This window comes from Homo sapiens, chromosome 12, assembly GCF_000001405.40.
Source record: "Homo sapiens chromosome 12, GRCh38.p14 Primary Assembly".
Lineage (NCBI taxonomy): Eukaryota > Metazoa > Chordata > Mammalia > Primates > Hominidae > Homo > Homo sapiens.
In genome coordinates this window covers 121,603,609-121,624,489 of record NC_000012.12, presented here as the reverse complement: position 1 = coordinate 121,624,489, position 20,881 = coordinate 121,603,609, and the positions used below count along the sequence as shown (strand labels likewise).

General features: G+C 49.4%; 1 pseudogene, besides 2 other annotated features; it reads right to left on the bottom strand.

Annotated features, from left to right (window-relative positions):
- Positions 3,832 to 4,126: an enhancer, noted in NCBI's record as "tiled region #5022; K562 Activating DNase matched - State 8:EnhW". NCBI's record gives its function as "activates a minimal TATA promoter and a strong SV40 promoter by Sharpr-MPRA in K562 cells {active_cell/tissue: K562}" and the evidence as "EXISTENCE:reporter gene assay evidence [ECO:0000049][PMID:27701403]".
- Positions 9,394 to 9,443: a silencer, noted in NCBI's record as "silent region_4980". NCBI's record gives its function as "represses an Ori minimal core promoter by ATAC-STARR-seq in GM12878 lymphoblastoid cells {active_cell/tissue: GM12878}" and the evidence as "EXISTENCE:reporter gene assay evidence [ECO:0000049][PMID:35858748]".
- RNU6-1004P (RNA, U6 small nuclear 1004, pseudogene) lies at positions 19,478 to 19,588 on the bottom strand (annotated as a pseudogene).

The window sequence follows — 20,881 nt, the reverse complement described above, 5'->3', positions numbered from 1 at the left end:
TTCCTGTGTCCATGTGTTCTCATTGTTCAATTCCCACCTATGAGTGAGAACATGCGGTGTTTGGTTTTTTGTCCTTTTCTTGGCTTTTTTAAAATAAAGATGGGGGCCGGGCGCGGTGACTCACGCCTATAATCCCAACACTTTGGGAGGCCGAGGCAGGCAGATCACAAGGTCAGTAGTTCCAGACCAGCCTAGCCAACATGGTGAAACCCTGTCTCTACTAAAAAAATTAGTCAGGTGACTCCCTAGTCCCAGTTACCAGGGAGGCTGAGGCAGGAGAATCGTTTGAACTTGGGAGGCGGAGCTTGCAGTGAGCCGAGATCGAGCCACTGCACTCCAGCCTGAGCGACAGAGCGAGAGTCCCTCTCAAAAAAAAAAAAAAAAATTGGGGAATTTGGAATTTGAAATCTCACCCTACTGGCTTTGTTTCCCTGGTGGCCTTTGTACTTTTTTTTTTTTTTTTTTGAGACGGAGTCTCACTCTGTCACCAGGCTGGAGTGCAGTGGAGCGATCTCGGCTCACTGCAACCTCCGCCTCCCGGGTTCAAGCAATTCTCCTGCTTCAGCCTGCCGAGTAGCTGGGACTACAGGCGCGCGCCACCACGCCCAGCTATTTTTGGTATTTTTAGTAGAGACGGGGTTTCACCATATGGACCAGGATGGTCTCGATCTCTTGACCTGGTGATCCACCCGCCTCAGCCTCCCAAAGTGCTGGGATTACAGGCGTGACGCACCGCGCCATGGCCCGCCTTTGTACTTCTTACCCCTTTCACTCAACATTTGTGTCTCAGCTCAAATAGCACCTCCTGAGAGACCTTCCCTCTATTGAAGTAGCCCCGGTGTCACAATCTGTCACCTCATCCTGATTTCTTCCCTTTATAGCTGTGATCACTACAGCATCTGAAATCATCTAGCTTATTTAGTTGACCTGTTCATCTGTTTAAGCATTAAAAAAAAAAAAAAGTGTGGCCAGGCGCGGTGGCTCACACCTGTTATCCCAACACTTTGGAAGGCCCAAGCGGGTGGATCACCTAAGGTCAGGAGTTCGAGACCAGCCTGGCTAACATGGTGAAACCCCCATCTCTACTAAAAATACAAAAAAAATTAGCCAGGTATGATGGGGCACGCCTATAATCCTAGCAACTGGGGAAGCTGAGGTAGGATAATTGCTTGAACGCAGGAGGCAGAGGTTGCAGTGAGCTGAGATCAGGCTGCTGCACTCAAGCCTGGGCGACAGAGGGAGACTCCGTCTCCAATAAAAAATAATAGTGACAGCGTCTCCCCATGTTGAGCATGCTGGTCTCAAACTCCTGGGCTCAAGGGATCCTCCCATCTGGGCCTCCCAAAGTTCTGGAATTACAAGCATGAGCCACTGTGTCCAGCCTATTCAAACATTTTATTTTATTTTATTATTATTTTAGGACAGAGTCTCTCTCTGTTCCCCAGGCTGCAGTGCAGTGGCTCGATCTCGGCTCACTGCAACCTCCGCCTCCTGGGTTCAACCGATTATTCTGGCTCAGCCTCCTAAATAACTGGGATTACAGGTGTCCATCACCACACCCAGCTAATTTTTTGTATTTTTAGTAGAGTCAGGGTTTCACCATGTTGGCCAGGCTGGTCTCGAACTCCTGACCTCAAGTGATCCACCCATCTCAGCCTCCCAAAGTGCTGGGATTACAGGTGTAAACCATTGTGCCCAACGTATTTAAACATTTTATTTTATTTTTATTTTTATTATTTTTAAGATGGAGTCTCGCTCTGTCCCCCAGGCTAGAGCGTAGTGGCTCAATCTCAGCTCACTGCAACCTCCAATTCCTAGGTTCAAGCGATTCTTCTGCCTCAGCCTCCTGAGTAACTAGGATTACAGGTGCCCACCAGCACACCCAGCTAATTTTTTATATTTTTAGTAGAGACAGGGTTTCACCATGTTGTCCAGGCTAGTCTCGAACTCCTGAACTCAGATGATCTGCCTGCCTCAGCCTCCCAGAGTGCTGGGATTACAGATGTGAGCCACTGCGCCTGGCCTTATTTATTTATTTATTTATTTATTTATTTATTTATTTATTTATTGAGACAGGGTCTCAATAGTCACCCAGGCTGGAGTGCAGTAGCACATCTCTACTTAAAAAAAAAAAAAAAAAAAAAGGCCAGGCGCGGTGGCTCACACCTATAATCCCAGCACTTTGGGAGGCTGAAACCGGCGGATCGCGAGGTCAGGAGATTGAGACCATCCTGGCTAACACGGTGAAACCCCGTCTCTACTAAAAATACAAAAAAATTAGCTGGGTGTGGTGGCGGGCGCCTGTAGTCCCAGCTACTTGGGAGGCTGAGGCAGGAGAATGGCGTGAACCCGGGAGGCGGAGCTTGCAGTAAGCCAAGATGGTGCCACTGCACTCCAGCCTGGGCGACAGAGCGAGACTCTGTCTCCAAATAAATAAATAAATAAGACTAGGCACGGTGGCTCACACCTGTAATCCCAGCACTTTGGGAGGCTGAGGTGGGCGGATCACCTGAGAGGACAGGAGTTCAAGACCAGCCTGACCAACATGGAGAAACCTCGTCTCTACTAAAAATACAAAAATTAGCTGGTGTGGTGGCGCATGCCTGTAATCCCAGCTACTTGGGAGGCTAAGGCAGGAGAACCGCCTGAACCCGGGAGGTGGAGTTTGCGATGAGATGAGATTATGCCATTGCACTCCAGCCTGGGCAATAAAAGCAATACTCTGTCTCAATAAATAAATAAATAAACCAGATGTGGTGGCGTGAGCCTGTACTCCCAGCTTCTTGGAATGAAGCTGCGGTGATCACACCACTGTCCTCCAACCTAGGCAATAAAGCGAGATCCTGTCTCAAAGAAAAAACAACTAAATAAATAAATGAATCATGGGCCAGGTGTGGTGGCTCATGCTTATAATTCCAACACTTTGGGAGGCCGAGGCGGTAGATCACTTAAGGTCAGGAGTTTGAGACCAGCCTGGCCAACATGGCGAAACTCCGTCTCCATTAAAAATACAAAAATTAGGCCGGGCACGGTGACTCACGCCTGTAATTCCAGCCCTTTCGGAGGCTGAGGCAGGTGGATCACCTGAGGTCAGGAGTTCAAGACCAGCCTGGTCAACATGGTAAAAGCCCATCTCTTCTAAAAATACAAAAATTAGCCGGGCTTGGTGGTGCATGCCTATAATCCCAGCTACTTGGGAGGCTGAGGCAGAAGAAGTGCTTGAACCCGGCAGGCAGAGGTTGGAGTGAGCAGAGATCACGCCACTGCACTGTAGCCTGGGCGACAGAGTAAGACCCTGTGTCAAAATAAGAAAAAATTAGCCGGGCGCGGTGGCTCACACCTGTAATCCCAGCACTTTAGGAGTCCAAGGCGGGCAGATCACGAGGTCTGGAGTTTGAGACCAGTCTGGCCAACATGGTGAAACCCCGTCTCTACTAAAAATACAAAAATTAGTCGAGCGTGGGGGCACACACCTGTAGTCCCAGCTACTTGGGAGGCTGAGGCAGGAAAATTGCTTGAACCCGGGAGGCAGAGGTTGCAATGAGCCGAGATCACACCACTGCACTCCAGCCTGGGTGACAGAGCTAGACTCCATCTCAAAAAAGAAAAAATTAGTTGGGTGTGGTGGCCAGGCCTGTAATCCCAGCTACTCCGGAGGCTGAGGCAGAAGAATTGCTTGAATCCAGGAGGCGAAAGTTGCAGTGAGCCGAGATCCTGCCACTGAACTCCAGCCTGGGCGACAGAGGGAGACTCAGTCTCTCAAAATCAATCAATCAATCAATCACGTCGCTATCACCCCAGGGCCTCCCACTGGCTACTGCCAATGGAAACAGGTTCAATGAACAAAACAATGCAATGTCCTTGGTTCCCAGAAACCCCCAGTTCAGGACTAGGAACACACAACATTTAGCAGCTAAGAGGGCCTGAGGTCTGGAGGGGGAAGAGGCCGGAAGCTGGGAGGAGAGATTTGCTGATTTTAGAGGAACAAAAGGATCTGGGAGTGGTGACTCAGAGGGGGCTTTGGGGTGGTGAGGGTTTCCTTTCCCCAGCTACTATGTCACGCTCCTCACCCCTCTCCTAATATTCTGTGTGGTTTGAATTTCCCCATCTGCACAGATCACAAGTAATAAAAACTTGGGTGGGGTGTCTGGACCATCCCTGCCTCCTGCCCCAGGATCCTAGAGGGGTCCATGGTTACTAACTTTTCCCCACAGTTTTTTTTTTTTTTTTGGTGGTGGGGAGACAGGGGTCTCATTGTGTTACCCAGGCTGCATTCGGACTCCTGGGCTCCACAGGCATGCACCACCAAGCCCGGCTAGAACAATGTTTTCATACCCCTGGCGATGGGAAGCTCACTCCTTCTAGAAGCTGAGCATGTCTGATTGGTTGTCTGATACTTCAAAAGTTGTCCTTGTATGGAGCTGGGGGCAGCTTCCCTGTCAGTCCTTCCTTGTGTCCTGACTCAGAATGCATGAAATCCCTCTGCCAGCCAGCCCTGGTGCCAGCTCCACAAGACATCTGGGAGGCAGCTTTTGTGAGTGATCTTGAAGGTTTTCATGGTCAAAGAATTGGGGTGAAGGAGGCTGGAAACCAAGTGAGACACTGTCAGGGGGCTGGTTACAAAATGCAGAATGGGGTCGGGTTGGTGAGCCCTGGTGTTGGTCTCAGAATGGTTCTCTGACTCTGGAGCTTAGACTATGCCAGGGGAGTGTGAACTCTGTCTCCTTGCTCTCCAGTTTCTGGGCTTATAGTGCTCATTCTTCCTCCCTCCACTCCTACCCCCTCACTGGTCAGAAGTCTTTGTTGGGTCTGAGTTTGTGCCCATGCCTTTAAAAGTGAGAACTTTTTCTGGCCTGGATAAGAAATCTTTGCTGACGACGCGGTGACTCATGCCTGTAATCCCAGCATTTTGGGAGGCTGAGGTGGACGGATCACCTGAGGTCAGGAGTTCGAGACCAGCCTGGCCAGCATGGTGAAACTGCATCTCTACTAAAAATACAAAAATTATCCGGGCATGGTGGCACATGCCTGTAATCCCAGCTATTCAAGAGGCTGAGGCACAAGAATCACTTGAACCCAAGAGGCGGAGGTTGCAGTGAGCTGAGATCACACCATTACACTCCAGCCTGGGCCATAGAGTAAGACTCTATTTAAAAAAAAAAAAAAAGAAAAAAAGAAATCTTTGCCAACCACAAGGTCACGAAGATATTCACCTGTGTTTTCTTTTAAAAGTTTTAGGCCAGGCATGGTGGCTCATGCCTATAATCTCAGCACCTGGGGAGGCCAGGTCGAGAGGATCACTTGAGACCAGGAGGTTTGAGACCAGCCTGGGCAACATAGTGGAACCCTGTCTCTACCCTCCACCCACCCCGCCAAAAATAAAAGTGTTTTTGCTTGTATGTTTAGGTCTGTGATCCGTGTCATACTGATTTTTTTCTATTTCTGTTTTTTTCTTAGAGACAAGGTCTTGCTCTGTTGCCCAGGCTGGAGTGCAGTGGCTCTTCATAGGTGTGATCATTGCACACTACAGCCTCAAATTCATGACTCAAGTGATTCTCACTCCTGCCTCAGCTTCTCAAGTAGCTGAGCCTATAGCCCATCAATCAAATACAGATTTTTGAGTGAAGCAAGCTTTCCCCACTGAAATGCATGGACATTTTTGTCAAAAATCACGTGACTACTATACATGACAGACTGTTTCTGAACTCTCTATTCTAGTCTGTGGATCTATTTGTCTACTCTCATGCCAATAGATACTGTGTTGATTACTCTAGGTTTAAAGTAAATCTTGGGGGCAGGGCGTGGTGGCTCACACCTGTAACCCCAGTACTTTGGGGGGGCCAAGGTGGGCGGATCACTTGAGGTCAGGAGTTTGAGACCAGTCTGACCAACATGGTGAAACCTCATCTCTACTAAAAATACAAAAATTAGCTGGGCATGGTGGCCCGCACCTGTAGTCCCAGCTATTTGGGAGGCTAAGGCAGGAGAACCCTTGAACCCGGGAGACGGAGGTAGCAGTGAGCCGAGGTCACGCCACTGCACTCCATACTGGGCGACAGAGTAAGACTCCGTCTCAAAAGTAAATAAATTGGCCGGGCGCAGTGGCTCATGCCTGTAATCCCAGCACTTTGGGAGGCCGAGGCGGGCCGATCACAAGGTCAGGAGATCGAGACCATCCTGGCTAACACGGTGAAACCTCATCTCTACTAAAAATACAAAAAATTAGCCAGGCGTGGTGGCAGGCGCCTGTAGTCCCAGCTACTCTGGAGGCTGAGGCAGGAGAATGGCATGAACCCGGGAGGCAGAGCTTGTAGTGAGCTGAGATCGCGCCATTGCACTCTAGCCTGGGTGACAGAGTGAGACTCCATCTCAAAAAAAAAAAAAAAAGTAAATAAATTAATAAATAAATAAATAAAAATAAAATAAGTCTTGGGGAAAAAAAACCCCATAAATTCCTCAAAATTAAAAAAAAAAAAGTCTCGGCCGGGCATGGTGGTTCACGCCTGTAATCCCAGCACTTTGGGAGGCCGAGGCGGGCGGATCACGAGGTTAGGAGTTTGAGACCAGCCTGGTCAACGCAGTGAAATCCTGTCTCTACTAAACATACAAAAATTAGCCGGATGTGGTGGCACGCACCTGTAGTCCCAGCTACTCGGGAGGCTGAGGCAGGAGAATTGCTTGAACCTGGGAGGTGGAGGTTGCAGTGAGCCGAGACGGGGCCACTACACTTCAGCCTGGGTGACAGAGCAAGACCCTGTCTCAAAAAAAAAAGTCTCTTTTTTAAGACAGAGTCTCTCTCTATTGCCCAGGCTGGAGTGCAATGGCACGTTCTGGGCTCACTGCAACCTCGGCTCCCGGGTTCAAGCGATTCTCCTGCTTCAGCCTCCCGAGTAGCTAGGATTACAGGTGCCTGCTGCCACATCCAGCTAATTTTTGTATTTTTAGTAGAAACAGGGATTCGCCGTGTTGGCCAGGCTGGTCTGGAACTCCTGACCTCAGGTTATTCACCCACCTCAGCCTCCCAAAGTGCTGAGATTACAGACATGAGTCACCACGCCCGGCCTCAAAATAAGTCTTAAAGTCAGGTAGAGGTAAGACCTTCAACTTGTTCCCTCCCTCCCTTCCTCCCTTCCTTCCTTCCTTCTTTTTTTTTCACAGGGGTCTTGGTCTCTTGCCCAGACTGGAGTGCAGTGGCACAATCTCAGCCCACTATAACCTCTGCCTCCCGGGTGCAAGTGATCCTCTCAGCTCAGCCTCCCAAGTAGCTAGGGCTACAGGCCTGCATCACCACATCTGGCTAATTTTTGTGTTTTTTTTTTTTTTTTTTTTTTTGTAGAGACAGGGGGTCTTGCCACGTTGCCCAGGCTGGTCTTGAACTCCTGGGCTCAAGCGATCCGCTTGCCTCAGCCTCCCAAAGTGCTGGGATTAAAGGCTAGAGCCACTGTGACCAGCTTCTTTTTTGTTGTTGTTGTTTTGAGATGAAGTTTCATTCTGTTGCCTAGACTGGAGTCCAGAGGCACGATTATGGCTCACTGCAGCCTTGACCTCCTGGGTTCAAGTGACCCTCCCACCTCAGCCTGCCAAGTAGCTGAGACTACATGCACACACCACCACACCTGGCTAATTTTTTATTATTTATAAAGATGGGATCTAATATGTTGCCTAGGCCAGTCTCAAAACTCCTGGACACAAGCGATCCTCCTGCCATGGCCTCCCAAAATGCTGGGATTACAGGCGTGAGCTAACCTACCCAGCCTAGTTCTCTTTTTCTTTTCTTTTCTTTCTTTCTTTTTTTTTTTTTTTTTTTGAGACGGAGTTTTGCTCTTGTTGCCCAGGCTGGAGCGCAATGGCATGATCTCAGCTCACTGCAACCTCCACCTCCTGGATTCAAGTGATTCTCCTGCCTCAGCCTCCCGAGTAGCTGGGATTACAGGCATGCACCACCACGCCCGGGTAATTTTTACATTTTTAGTAGAGACGAGGTTTCTACATGTTGGTCAGGCTGGTCTTGAACTCGTGACCTCAGGTGATCCACCCACCTCAGCCTCCCAAAGTGCTGGATTACAGGCATGAGCCACCACGCCTAGTCTAGTTCTCCTTTTTCAAAACTGAATTTGCTGTACAGAATGTTGGGGTAAATTTTGTCAATACACATATGCCTTGGAGAATCACTATATCCCTTAACTTGGTGGGTGTCAGCAGGATCATTTTCCTGGACGGTCTGACATCCTCTATTAGCAAAGCAGGCCACACTGCAGAGATCAGACACATGAGATCAGGTTGGACTCTTAAAGGTTAAACTGTGTCCCCCCAAAAAAGACATTGCAGTCCTAAACCTCAGTACCTCAGAATGTGACCTCATTTGGGGCTGGGCGCAGTGGCTCACGCCTGTAATTTCAACACCTTGGGAGACTGAGGCAGGCGGATCACCTGAGGTCAGGAGTTCAAGACCAGCCTGGCAAACATGGTGAAACCCCATCTCTACTGAAAATACAAAAAGTAGCCAGGAGGTGGAGGTTGCAGTGAGCCAAGATTGCGCCATTGCACTGCAGCCCGGCAGACAAGAGTGAAACTCCACCTCAAAAAGAAGAATGTGGCCGGCTGGGCACGATGGCTCACGCCTGTAATCCCAGCACTTTGGGAGGCCGAGGCAGGCGGATCACGAGGTCAGGAGATCGAGACCATCCTGGCTAACACGGTGAAACCCCCGTCTCTAATGAAAAAAATACAAAAAATTAGCCAGGCATGGTGGCAGGTGCTTGTAGTCCCAGCTACTCGGGAGGCTGAGGCAGGAGAATGGCGTGAACCTGGAAGGCAGAACTTGCAGTGAGCCGAGATCACGCCACTGCACTCCAGCCTGGGTGACAGAGCGAGACTCCGTCTCAAAAAAAAACAAAAGAAGAAGACTGTGGCCAGGCACGGTGGCTCACATCTGTAATCCCAGCACTTTGGGAGGCCGAGGAGGGTGGATCAGGAGGTCAGGAGTTGGAGACCAGCCTGGCCAACATGGTGAAACCCGATCTCTACTAAAAATACAAAAATTAGCTGGGTGTGAAGGCAAGCGACTGTTGTAATCCTAGCTACTTGGGAGGCTGAGGCAGGAGAATCTCTTGACACTGGAAGGCAGAGGTTGCAGTCAGCTGAGATTGTGCCATTGCACTCCAGCCTGGGCGAAAGAGTGAAACTCTCTAAAAAAAAAAAAAAAAACCACAAACAAAAAAAAACGAAGAATGTGACCTCATTTGGAAATACAGCCTTTACAGAGGTAATCAAATTAAAATGAGGTCATAGGGTGGGCACTTATTTCGTTTGGATCTGTGTCCCCACCCAAATCTCATGTTCAATTGTAATCCCCAGTGTTGGAGATGGAGCCTGGTGAGAGGTGATTGGATCACGGGGCCAGTTTCTCATGAATGGTTTAGCACCATCCTCTTGGTGCTATGACAGTGAGTGAGATCTGGTTGTTTAAAAGTGTATAGCACCTCCCCGCCCCTCTCTTCCTCCTGCTCCCGCCATGTGAAGGGCTGGTTCCTCCTTTGCCTTCCGCCATGATTGGAAGCTTCTTGAGGCCTCCCCAGAAGCAGATGCTGCAATGTTTCCTGCACAACCTTCCGAACCAAGAGCCAATTAATCCTCTTTTCTTTCTTTCTTTCTTTCTTTTTTTTTTTTTGACGGAGTCTCGCTCTGTCGCCCAGGCTGGAGTGCAGTGGCGCAATATCAGCTCACTGCAAGCTCCACCTCCCGGGTTCACGGCCATTCTCCTGCTTCAGCCTCCGGAGTAGCTGGGACTACAGGCGACTGCCACCACGCCCAGCTGATTTTTTTGTATTCATCCTCTTTTCTTTATAAATTACTCAGTCTTAGGTATTTCTTTTTCTTTTTTTTTTTCGAGACAGAGTCTCACTCTGTTGCCCAGGCTGGAGTGCAGTGGCGCGATCTGGGCTCACTTTAACTTCCGCCTCTGGGTGCAAGCAATTCTCTGCCTCCGCCTCCCGAGTAGCTGGGATTACAGGTGCCTGCCACCACGCCCAGCTAATTTTTGTATTTTTAGTAGAGATGAGGATTCACCATCTTGGACCGGCAGGTTGAACTGCTGACCTCGTGATCCACCTGCCTCAGCCTCCCAAAGTGCTGGGAGTACAGGCGTGAGCCACTGTGCCCGGCCTAGGTATTTTTTTTTTTTTTTTTTTTGAGATGGAGTCTCGCTCTGTCTTCCAGGCTGGAGTGCAGTGGCTCAATGTTGGCTCACTGCAACCTCCACCTCCCTGGTTCAAGCAATTCTCCTGCCTCAGCCTCCCGAGTAGCTGGGATTACAGGAGTGCATCACCACGCCCGGCTAATTTTTGTATTTTTAGTAGAGAGGGGGTTTCGCCATGTTGGCCAGGCTGGTCTCGAACTCCTGGCCTCAAATGATCTGTCCGCCTCGGCCTCCCAAAATGCTGGGATTACAGGCGTGAACCATGGTGCCCAGCCTCAGGTATTTCTTTTCATTTTTTTTTTTTTTTTTCTAAATGGAATTTTGTGCTTGTTGCCCAGGCTGGAGTGCAGTGGTGCAATCTCGCCTCACTGCAACCTCCACCTCCTGGGTTCAAGCGATTCTCCTGCCTCAGCCTCCCGAGTAGCTGGGATTATAGGCGCCTGCCACAACGTCCGACTAATGTTTTGTAGTTTTAGTAGAGACAGGGTTTCCCCATTTTGGCCAGACTTGTCCCGAACTCCTGACCTCAGGTGATCTGCTGGCCTGGGCCTCCCAAAGTGCTGGAATTACAGGTGTGAGTCACCGTGCCCAGCTTGGTATTTCTTTATAGCAATGACAGAACAGACTCATACAGCCCTCTTCCAATATTACTAATATCCTTATAAAAAGGAGAAGTGTGAAATTTGCAAGGAGCAGTGGCTCTTGTCTGGGGTTCCCGCTACTAGTGAGGCTGAGGCAGGAGCATTGCTTGATCCCATGAGGTCAAAGCTGCACTGAGCTGTGAGCGTGACACTGCACTCCAGCCTTGGCAACAGTGTGAGACCCTGTCTCAAAAAAGACAAAAACAGCCAGGCACCGTGGCTCACGCCTGTAATCCCAGCCTTTTGGGAGGCCGAGGCGGGCGGATCACCTGAGGTCAGGAGTTGGAGACCAGCCTGACCAACATGGAGAAAACTTATCTCTACTAAAAATACAAAATTAGCCGGGCGTGGTGGCATGTGCCTGTAATCCCAGTTACTCGGGAGGCTAAGGTAGGAGAATGGCTTGAACCCGGGAGGAGGAGGTTGTAGTGAGCCAAGATCGCACCACTGCACGCCAGCCTGGGCAACAAGAGCGAAACTCTGTCAGAAAAAAAAAACAAAAAACAAAAAACAAAAACAAAGGAGGAAATTTAGACACAGACAGACATGTACAGAGGGAAGACCACATGAATGGACACAAGAAGACGGCCGTCTACAAGCCAGGTAGCTCGAGCAGCAGGGCCTGGGGCATGTCCTTCCCTGGTTCCTTCCGAGGGACCGTGGCCTTGCTGACATCTTGATTTTGGACTTCTGGCCTCCAGAACTGTGAGACAATAAGTTTCTCTCCTAAGCCACCCAGTTTGTGGGACTTAAAAAAATTTTTTTGGGGGGGCCGGGCGTGATGGCTCACGCCTGTAATCCCAGCACTTTGGGAGGCCGAGGTGGGCGGATCACCTGCGGTCAGGAGACCAGCCTGGGCAACATGGCGAAACCCTGTCTCTACTAAAAAATACAAAAGTTAGCTGGGAATGGTGGTGTACGCCTGTAGTCCCAGCTACTCGGGAGGCTGAGGTGGAAGAATCGTTTGAACCCAGGAGGCGGGGGTTGCAGTGAGCTGAGATCAGGCCATTGTACTCCAGCCTGGGTGACAGAGTGAGACTCTGTCTCAAAAAAAAAAAAACAAAAAACAAAAAACAGGTCAGGAGCGGTGGCTCACGCCAGGACTTTGGGAGGCCAAGGCAGGCGGATCACGAGGTCAGGAGATCGAGACCATCCTGGCTAACATGGTGAAACCCTGTCTCTACTAAAAATACAAAAAATTAGCTGGGCGTGGTGGCGGATGCCTGTAGTCCCAGCTACTCGGGAGGCTGAGGCAGGAGAATGGCGTGAACCTGGGAGGCAGAGCTTGCAGTGAGCCAAGATCGCGCCACTGCACTCCAGCCTGGGCAACAGAGTGAGACTCCATCTCAAAAAAAAAAAAAAAAAAAGAAGAAGAAAAGAATACAAGGAGGCTGGAGTGATTTGGGGTGGGGTCTTCAGCCAGCCAAGGAAGTTGAATTCTAATGGGGCTGCAAGTGTGTTCAGATGAGATTAGATCATTATGCAGAGTTTGGAGCTAGGCACTCTTGGATTTGAATCCCAGTTTTGTCAGTTTGTAACTGTGCCACTTTGGGCAAGCACCCCAGCCTCTCTGAGCCCCATCTGTGAAAGGGGAATATTGATGGGACTTGGCAAAGAGGTTGTTATGAGTGTTTCATGAAAGAAAAGTTGTCTGGCAATTAGCACAGCGCTCAGTAAATGGTGGCTCCAACCTTCCCTCTCATGGGATGTGCTGTGCTCAGAGAAAGAGGATTGCTGCCTTCCAGATTGAATGAATTGACTGATCTGTAAGTCTTTAGTGAAGGTAGTATATCTGTGAGAATCTGACCAGGACAAACAGTTACCACACTAAGAGCATTTATCCTGAGAATTGCTCCAGGGGTAATGGAAGACTTACAGGAAAAGGCAGGCAGGGGAAGGGCAGCCCCCAGGTTAGCCCCAGCAGGAGGACTGCTATCACCCTGGGGTTGGAGGGACAGAGGCAGGGGGTGGTGTTTCTGGTACCGAAGAGGGACTGGAGTCCTCAGGCAGAAGCCAGAGCCACAGTGGACCTGTCTGGTGGGAGGTGGAGCTGGAGATCCCACCTGAGGCAGAGGGGTAGGAACACCCTGGATTCCCCTCCTCCCACCACCTGGCTCCTCCCACCCACCAGGCTCCTCCCACCACCAGGCTCCTCCCACCCACCAGGCTCCTGGCACTGCCTCCAGTTGGTCCATCTGTGCAGGAAGCCACCCTGCCAAAGGTTGGCCACCCTGTGATCTGGAGCAAGGCTAGAGAAAGGCAAGGGAGGGGTCCAAGGGCAAAGAAGTGCAGGCCCAACACTGGGGTGTGGGGGTTCCATCCGTTCTCTCTGGAGATTCCAGATTCCCCATCTAGAAAACGGGGATAATAATAGCACCTACTTATAGAATAGCTGACTGCCTACAACAGTGTAACACGTGTAAGCAGGTGAGCCCAGCAGCTGGCACACAGTAGGGAGTACCCCATAGATGTCATGAACAACCTAGTTAGCTGTTTTCTGCTCAGAGGATGAAAGGAGGTAACAGGGCCAGGCACAGTGGCTCACACCTGTAATCCCAGTACTTTGGGAGGCTGAGGCAGGAGGATCGCTTGAGCCCAGGAGTTCAAGACCAGCCTGGGCAACATAGTAAAACCCTGCCTCTAATAAAAAAAAAAAAAGAGAGAGAGAGAAAGAGGAAAAGAAATGAGAAAAAGAGAAAGAAAGAAAAGAAAAGAAAGAAAGAGCAAGAAGAAAGGGAAAGAAAGAAAAGAAAGAAAGAGAAAGAAAGAAGAAAAGAAATGAAAAGAGCTGAGCTAACAGGACAGGGCCTGGGAATAAATTCGAGGTACAGGAACAGTGCTAGGGCTGGTGATATTTTTGTCTTGGAGACGTGTCCATCTGTCCTCTCTCCATTCTAAGCTGGTGAGTCTGTCGGTCTCCTTTTAGAAATCCTGAGTCAGGGCAGCTCTTACCAAGTTCAGGGTGGCTCGAAGTTTGGCCTCTGTGCTCCCTCAAAAGGATTTCAAATCCACTAGATTTTTAGTTGGTTTCTCTGCCTCCTACCATTGCCAAACTTCCCTTGCCTCCCCCAGCCTGGGGCTGAGCCATTTCCAGGATCTCGCTTTGTATAATTAAAAAGAAAAATAGAACAGCTGATGTTGCCAAACATGTATTTAAAGTGACACCCTGAGTTCAAGGAGTGGAAAATAAAAACGTTTAAGGTTTAGATTAAAAGTCTCCATGCTCAGCTGTCTCCTAACCCTGGGATTTCTCCACAGCCCGGCCGCCTTTAATCCCCTGCCCTGGCTCGTAAAAGCCCTTTAGACTGAGGGCATTTATTTCCCAGAGAACAGTTCCAGCCTAATCACATAAAAACACCCGCATCCTGGGAACAGCCTGTCAAACACAGTGTGGCTCTGTGAGGCCCCAGAGAAGCTGGAGAAATTGTAGTTCTGATCACCCCAGGAGTCACGCTGCAGTCACTTTCCTAGACTGCACCCTTCCCCACAATATCCAATTCATCAATAAACCCAGTCAGTTCTAGCCCCTAGCATTTTCTTTTTCTTTTTCTTTTTTTTTTTGAAACGGAGTCTCGCTCCGTCGCCCAGGCTGGAGTGCAGTGGCGCGATCTCGGCTCACTGCAAGCTCCGCCTCCCGGGTTCACACCATTCTCCTGCCTCAGCCTCCTGAGTAGCTGGGACTACAGGCGCCCGCCACCACGCCCAGCTAATTTTTTTTTGTATTTTTTAGTAGAGACGGGGTTTCACCTTGTTAGCCAGGATGGTCTCGATCTCCTGACCTCGTGATCCACCTGCCTCGGCCTCCCAAGGTGCTGGGATTACAGGCGTGAGCCACTGCGCCCGGCCTCCCCTAGCATTTTCTTGAGATCTGAGCTCTTCCGTCCAGCAGCAACCATTCCATCACATCCGGGCTGCCATTGTTGCCCACCCACACGTCTGCAGTTACCCACCCGGGCTCTCTGCTTCTGCTGATCCCGCTAAAGCCCATTCTGTAATAGCAACAAGAAATAGTTTTTGAAACATAAATCTGATCATGTCCTTTCTCTGCTTGTATTAGTTTCCCATTGCTGCTGTAAGAAATTACCATAAATTGGCCGGGCGCGGCGGTTCATGCCTGTAATCCCAGCACTTTGGGAAGCCGAGGTGGGCAGATCACCTGAGGTCAAGAGTTCGAGACCAGCCTGGCCAACATGGTGAAACCCCATCTCTACTAAAATTTCAAAAATTAGCCGGGCGTGGTGGCAGTCTCCTGTAATCCCAGCTACTCAGGTGGCTGAGGCATGAGAATCTCTTGAACCCAGGAGGCAGAGGTTGCAGTGAGCCGAGATTGCGCCATCACACTCCAGCCTGGGGGACAAGACCGAGTCTTTGTCTCCAAAAAAAAAAAAAAAAAAAAAAGCAAAAATTAACCAGGCGTGGTGGCGGGTGCCTGTAATCCCAGCGACTCGGGAGGCTGAGGCAGGAGAATTGCTTGAACCCGGGAGGCGGAGCTTGCAGTGAGCCGAGATCACATCACTGCACTCCAGCCTGGGCGAGACAGAGTGAGACTCCATCTCAAAACACACACACAAACACACACACACACACACACACACAAATTCATTATCTTAGTTCTAGAGGTAAGAAGTTCAAAATGAATCATCAGGGGCCAAAATTAAGGTGACAGCAGGGCTGGTTCCTTTGGAGGCTCCAATGAGATAATGGGAAAATCCATTTCTTGCTTTTTCCCTTCTGCTGGCTGCCTGCATTCCTTAGTGTGCAGCCCCTTCTGTTTCTAAAGCAGGTCACGCCTCTCCAGACTCTGCTTCCATTGTCACATCGCTTCTCTGACCTCCTCTACCTCTCCTGAGGACACCTGTGGTTACACTGGGCCCACCCAGGTAATCCAGGATCAATCTTAAAATCCTTCACTCCATCACATCCGCAAAGTCCCTTCATCCATATACGGTCACATATTCACAGGTGCCAGACAGTAAGACATGGACATCCCTGGGGGACATTTACTCAGCCTGCCACACTGTGTACAGCCCTCCAGTGACCATGCATCTGAGAATCTGAGTTAGGATGAAATCCAAGCGCCTTCCCCAGCATGGGAAAGACTGATGTGATCTAGTTCCTGCCTATCTCTCCAGTGTGGTGGCTCACGTTTGCAATGTCAGCACTTTGGGAGGCCAAGGCGGGTAGATCACCTGAGGTTAGGAGTTCAAGACCAGCCTGGCCAACATGGCGAAACCCCATCACTACCAAAAATACAAAAATTAGCCAGGCAGTGTGTTGTGACGCATGACTGTAATCCCAACTACTCAGGAGGCTGAGGCATCAGAATCGCTTAAACCTGGGAGGCAGAGGTTGCAGCGGGTGGAGATCGCACCACTGCTCTCCAGCCTGGGTGACAGAGTAAGCCCCCATCTCAAAACAAAACAAAACAAACAAACAAAATTTCAAGCCAGGTGCCTATAATCCCAGCACATTTGGAGGTCAAGTCAGGAGGATCACTTGAGCCCAGGAGTTCCAGATCAGCCTGGGTAACATGGCCAGACCCCATCTCTACAAATAATAAAACTAGGCTGGGCATGGTGGCTCACGCTTGTAATCCCAGCACTTTGGGAGGCTGAGGTGGGTGGATCACCTGAGGTCAGGAGTTCAAGACCAGCCTGGCAAAAATGTTGAAACCCTGTCTCTACTAAAAATACAAAAAATTAGCTGGGCATGGTGGTGGGCACCTGTAATCCCAGCTACTCGGGAGGCTGGGACAGGAAAATTGCTTGAACCTGGGAGGCAGAGGTTGCATTGAGCTGAGATCAAGCCACTGCACTCCAGCCTGGGTGAGAGAGTGAAACTCTGTCTCAGATAAAATAAAATAAATAAATAAATAAAACAACAGCAATGTATTGGTCATAGTTCTGGGGGCTGGGAAGTTCAAGGTCAAGTCACCAGCAGACTCGGTCTCTGGTGAGGACTTAGTTTACTTCAAAAATGGCACCCTGTTGCTGTATCTTCCATGGTGGAAAGGGGCTAGCTTCTCCACTCGGGTCTCTTTTTTTCTTTTCCAGACAAGGTCAGTTCTGTCGTCCAAGCTGGAGTGCAATGGCATGATCTCAGCTCACTGCAAGCTCCAGCTTCTGGATTTAAGTGATTCTCCTCCCTTGGGGATCACAGGCATGCACCACCACACCTAGCACATTTTTGTATTTTTAGTAGACACAGGATTTCGCCATGTTGGCCAGGCTGGGGACCTCTTTTATTTATTTATTTGGTTGTTGCTGTTGTTGAGACAGGATCTCACTCTGTCGCCCAGGCTGAAGTGTAGTGGTACAATCACAGCTCACTACAGCCTCATTCTCCCAGGCTCAGGTGATCCTTCCACCTCAGCATCCTGGGTAGCTGGGACCACAGGAATGCACCACCACAACCGGCTAATATTGTGTAGTGAGACGGGGTCTCCCCATGTTTGCCCAGGCCAGTCTCGAACTCCTGGGCTCAAGCAATCTGCCTACCTCAGCCTCCCAAAGTTCTGGGACTACAGGCATGAGCCACAGCACATAGCCCCCTCGAGCTGCTTTTATGAGGGCACTAATCCCTTCACACACGCAGAACCTTATAACTTAATCACCTCCCAAAGGACCTATCTCTTAATACTATTGCATTGGGTATTAGGTTCCAACACATGAATTTTGGGGGGACACTAACATTCGGACAATTGTATATGTATACTATCAAGTCTATTTACATAAAATTCAAAGACAGGACAAGTAAAATGGAAACTATGGGAGTGATGGATATGCGTTAATCAATATGACCATGGTAATCAGGACACAATGGATTTCAACTCATCACACTGTACATCTTGAATATATACAATTCAATTTATCAGTTAAAATTTTTTTTTGAGATAGAGTCTTGCTCTGTCTCAGGCTGGAGTGCAATGGCACGATCTCGGCTCACGGCAACCTCTGCCTCCCGGGTTCGAGCTATTCTCCTGCCTCAGCCTCCTGAGTAGCTGGGATTACAGGCGCGCACCACCACGCCCGGCTAATTTTTGTATTTTTAGTAGAGACAGGGTTTCACCATGTTGGCCAGGCTGGTCTTGAACTCCTGACCTCATGATCCACCCGCCTTGGCTTCCCAAAGTGCTGGGATTACAGATGTGAGCCACCACGCCTGGCCATTATCAATTAAATATTTTTAAATCAAAAAAGAAGAAATGGCTGGGTGCATTGGCTCACACCTGTAAACCCAGCACTTTGGGAGGCAGAGGCAGGGAGATATTTTGAGGCCAGGAGTTCAAGACCAGCCTGGGCAACATGGCGAAACCCTGTCTCTACAAAAAATAAAAGTAAAAAATTGGCCAGGCATGCTGGCTTGCACCTGTGGTCCTAGCTACTGGGGAGGCTAAGGAAGGAGGATCCCTTGAGCCTAGGAGTTTGAGGCTGCAGTGAGCTGTGATTGCATCAGTGCACTCCAGCCTGGGTGAGAGAGGGAGACCCCCATCTCTAAAAATAAAAAGGAAACAAGTGAATGATTCAAAACAAAAAGAACATGCCAAAGAAAACAATATATATAAAAACTAGGCCAGCGCACGGTGGCTCACGCCTGTGATCCCAGCACTTTGAGAGGCTGAGGCAGGCGGTCAGGAGTTTGGGACCAGCTGGGCTAACATGGCAAAACCCCGTCTCTACTAAAAAATACAAAAATTAGGTGGGTGTGGTGGTGCGCAGCTGTAATGCCAGCTACTTGGGAGGCTGAGGCAGGAGAATCCCTTGAACTTGGGAGGAGGGGATTGCAGTAAACGAGACTGCGCTACCGCACTCCAGGGTGGGTGATAGAGTGGGACTCTGTCTCGAAAAAAAATTTAAAAAAAGGCCGGGCGTGCTGGCTCATGCCTATAATCCCAGCACTTTGGGAGGCCGAGGCGGGTGGATCACGAAGTCAGGAGTTCAAGACCAGCCTGGAGTTCAAGACCAGCCTGGCCAAGATGGTGAAACTCCATATCTACCAAAAAATACAAAAATTAGCCAGGCATGGTGGCGGGCACCTGTAATCCCAGCTACTCGGGAGGCTGAGGCAGGAGAATCACTTGAACCCGGCAGGCAGAGGTTGCAGTGAGCTGAGATCGCGCCACTGCACTCCAGCCTGGGTGACAGAGCAAGACTCCATCTCAAAAACAAATAAACAAACAAAAAAACCCTGCAATGGTACAATAAGCGATAAATACAAAAATATACTAGTACTTTCAGGGGGTTAGGAGGAAGAGACTGGGATGGGTCCGTGGAGAATTTCTTTTTTTTTTTTTTTTTGAGATGGGGTCTCACTCTGTTGCCCAGGCTGGAGTGCAGTGGTGCCATCTCGGCTCACTGCAAGCTCCGCCTCCTGGGTTCACTCCATTCCCCTGCCTCAGCTTCCTGAGTAGCTGGGACTACAGGCGCCCGCCACCACACCCGGCTAAATTTTTTTTGTATTTTTAGTAGAGATGGGGTTTCACCATGTTAGCTAGGATGATCTGGATCTCCTGACCTCGTGATCCACCCACCTTGGCCTCCCAAAGTGCTGGGATTACAGGCGTGAGCCACCACGCCCGGCCATGGAGAATTTCAAAGAGACACTGGGATTGCTGGGCTTCTGTTGCTGCTGTTTTAACATGGAATGTCTCAGCCTCATGAATCTGCTTGTCATTCTCGCGCAAGGGCCATGCTAAAGTGCTATGTGCGGTTTCAATTTCAGTATACGTGCTGCCAAAGTGAGTGAGTACTGCTGCTTTTTTTAATTGTGACAAAATATATGTAACATAAAATTTATCATTGTAACAATTTTTAAGTGTACAGCTCCATGACATTAAGCATATTCACACTGTTGTACAACCATCACCACCATCCACGTCTAGAACTTTTCCATCCTCTCAAACAAAAAGTCTGTCCCCATTAAACCTAACTCCCCAGAATATCCCCCTCCATCCAGCCCCTGGCCACCACCATTATATCTATTCTATATTCTATTCTGTTTTCTTTCTCTCTTTTCTTTCTTTCTTTCTTTTTTTTTTTTTTTTGAGATAGAGTTTCACTCTGTCGCCCAGGCTGACATGCAGTCGCTCAGTCTCGGCTCACTGCAACCTCTGCCTCCCACGTTCAAGTGATTCGTCTGTCTCACCCTCCCAAGTATCTGGGATTACAGCTACGCGCCACCACGCCTGACTCTTTTTTTTTTTTTTTTTTGAGATGGAGTTTCGCTCTTGTTGTCCAGGCTGGAGTGTAATGGCACAATCTTGGCTCATCATAACCTCCGCTGCCCGGGTTCAAGCAATTCTCCTACCTTAGCCTCCCCAGTAACTGGGATTACAGGCATGCGCCACCACGCCCAGCTAATTTTGTATTTTTAGTAGAGATGGGTTTTCTTTTTCTCTCTTTTTTTTGTTTTGAGATGGGGTTTCGCTCTTGTTGCCCAGGCTGGAGTGCAATGGCACGATCTCGGCTCACCGCAACCTCCGCCTCCCGGGTTCAAGCGATTCTCCTGCCTCAGCCTCCCTAGTAGGTAGGATTACAGGCATGTGCCACCACGCCTGGCTAATTTTGTATTTTTAGTAGAGACAGGGTTTCTCCCTGCAGGTCAGGCTGGTCTCAAACTCCCGACCTCAGGTGATCAGCCCGCCTCGGCCTCCCAAACTGCTGGGATTACAGGCATGAGCCACCACACCCGGCCATGAGATAGGGTTTCTCCATGTTGGTCAGACTGGTCTCGAACTCCCGACCTCAGATGATCCACCCGCCTTGGCCTCTCAAAGTGCTGGAATTACGGGCATAAGCCTCCACGCCCAGCCCTTGGGCCCATCATTCTGTTTTCTGTTTCCATGAATTGAAATACTCTAGGTACTTCATATTAATGGAATCATACCATATTTGTCCATTCATGTCTGGCTTATTTCACTTAGCATGTCTTCAAGGTTTATCTTGTTGCAGCATGTGTCAGAATTTCCTTTGTTTTTAAGTCTGAATCATATTCCATATTATATTATATTCCATATACCATGTTTTATTTTTCCATTTATCTA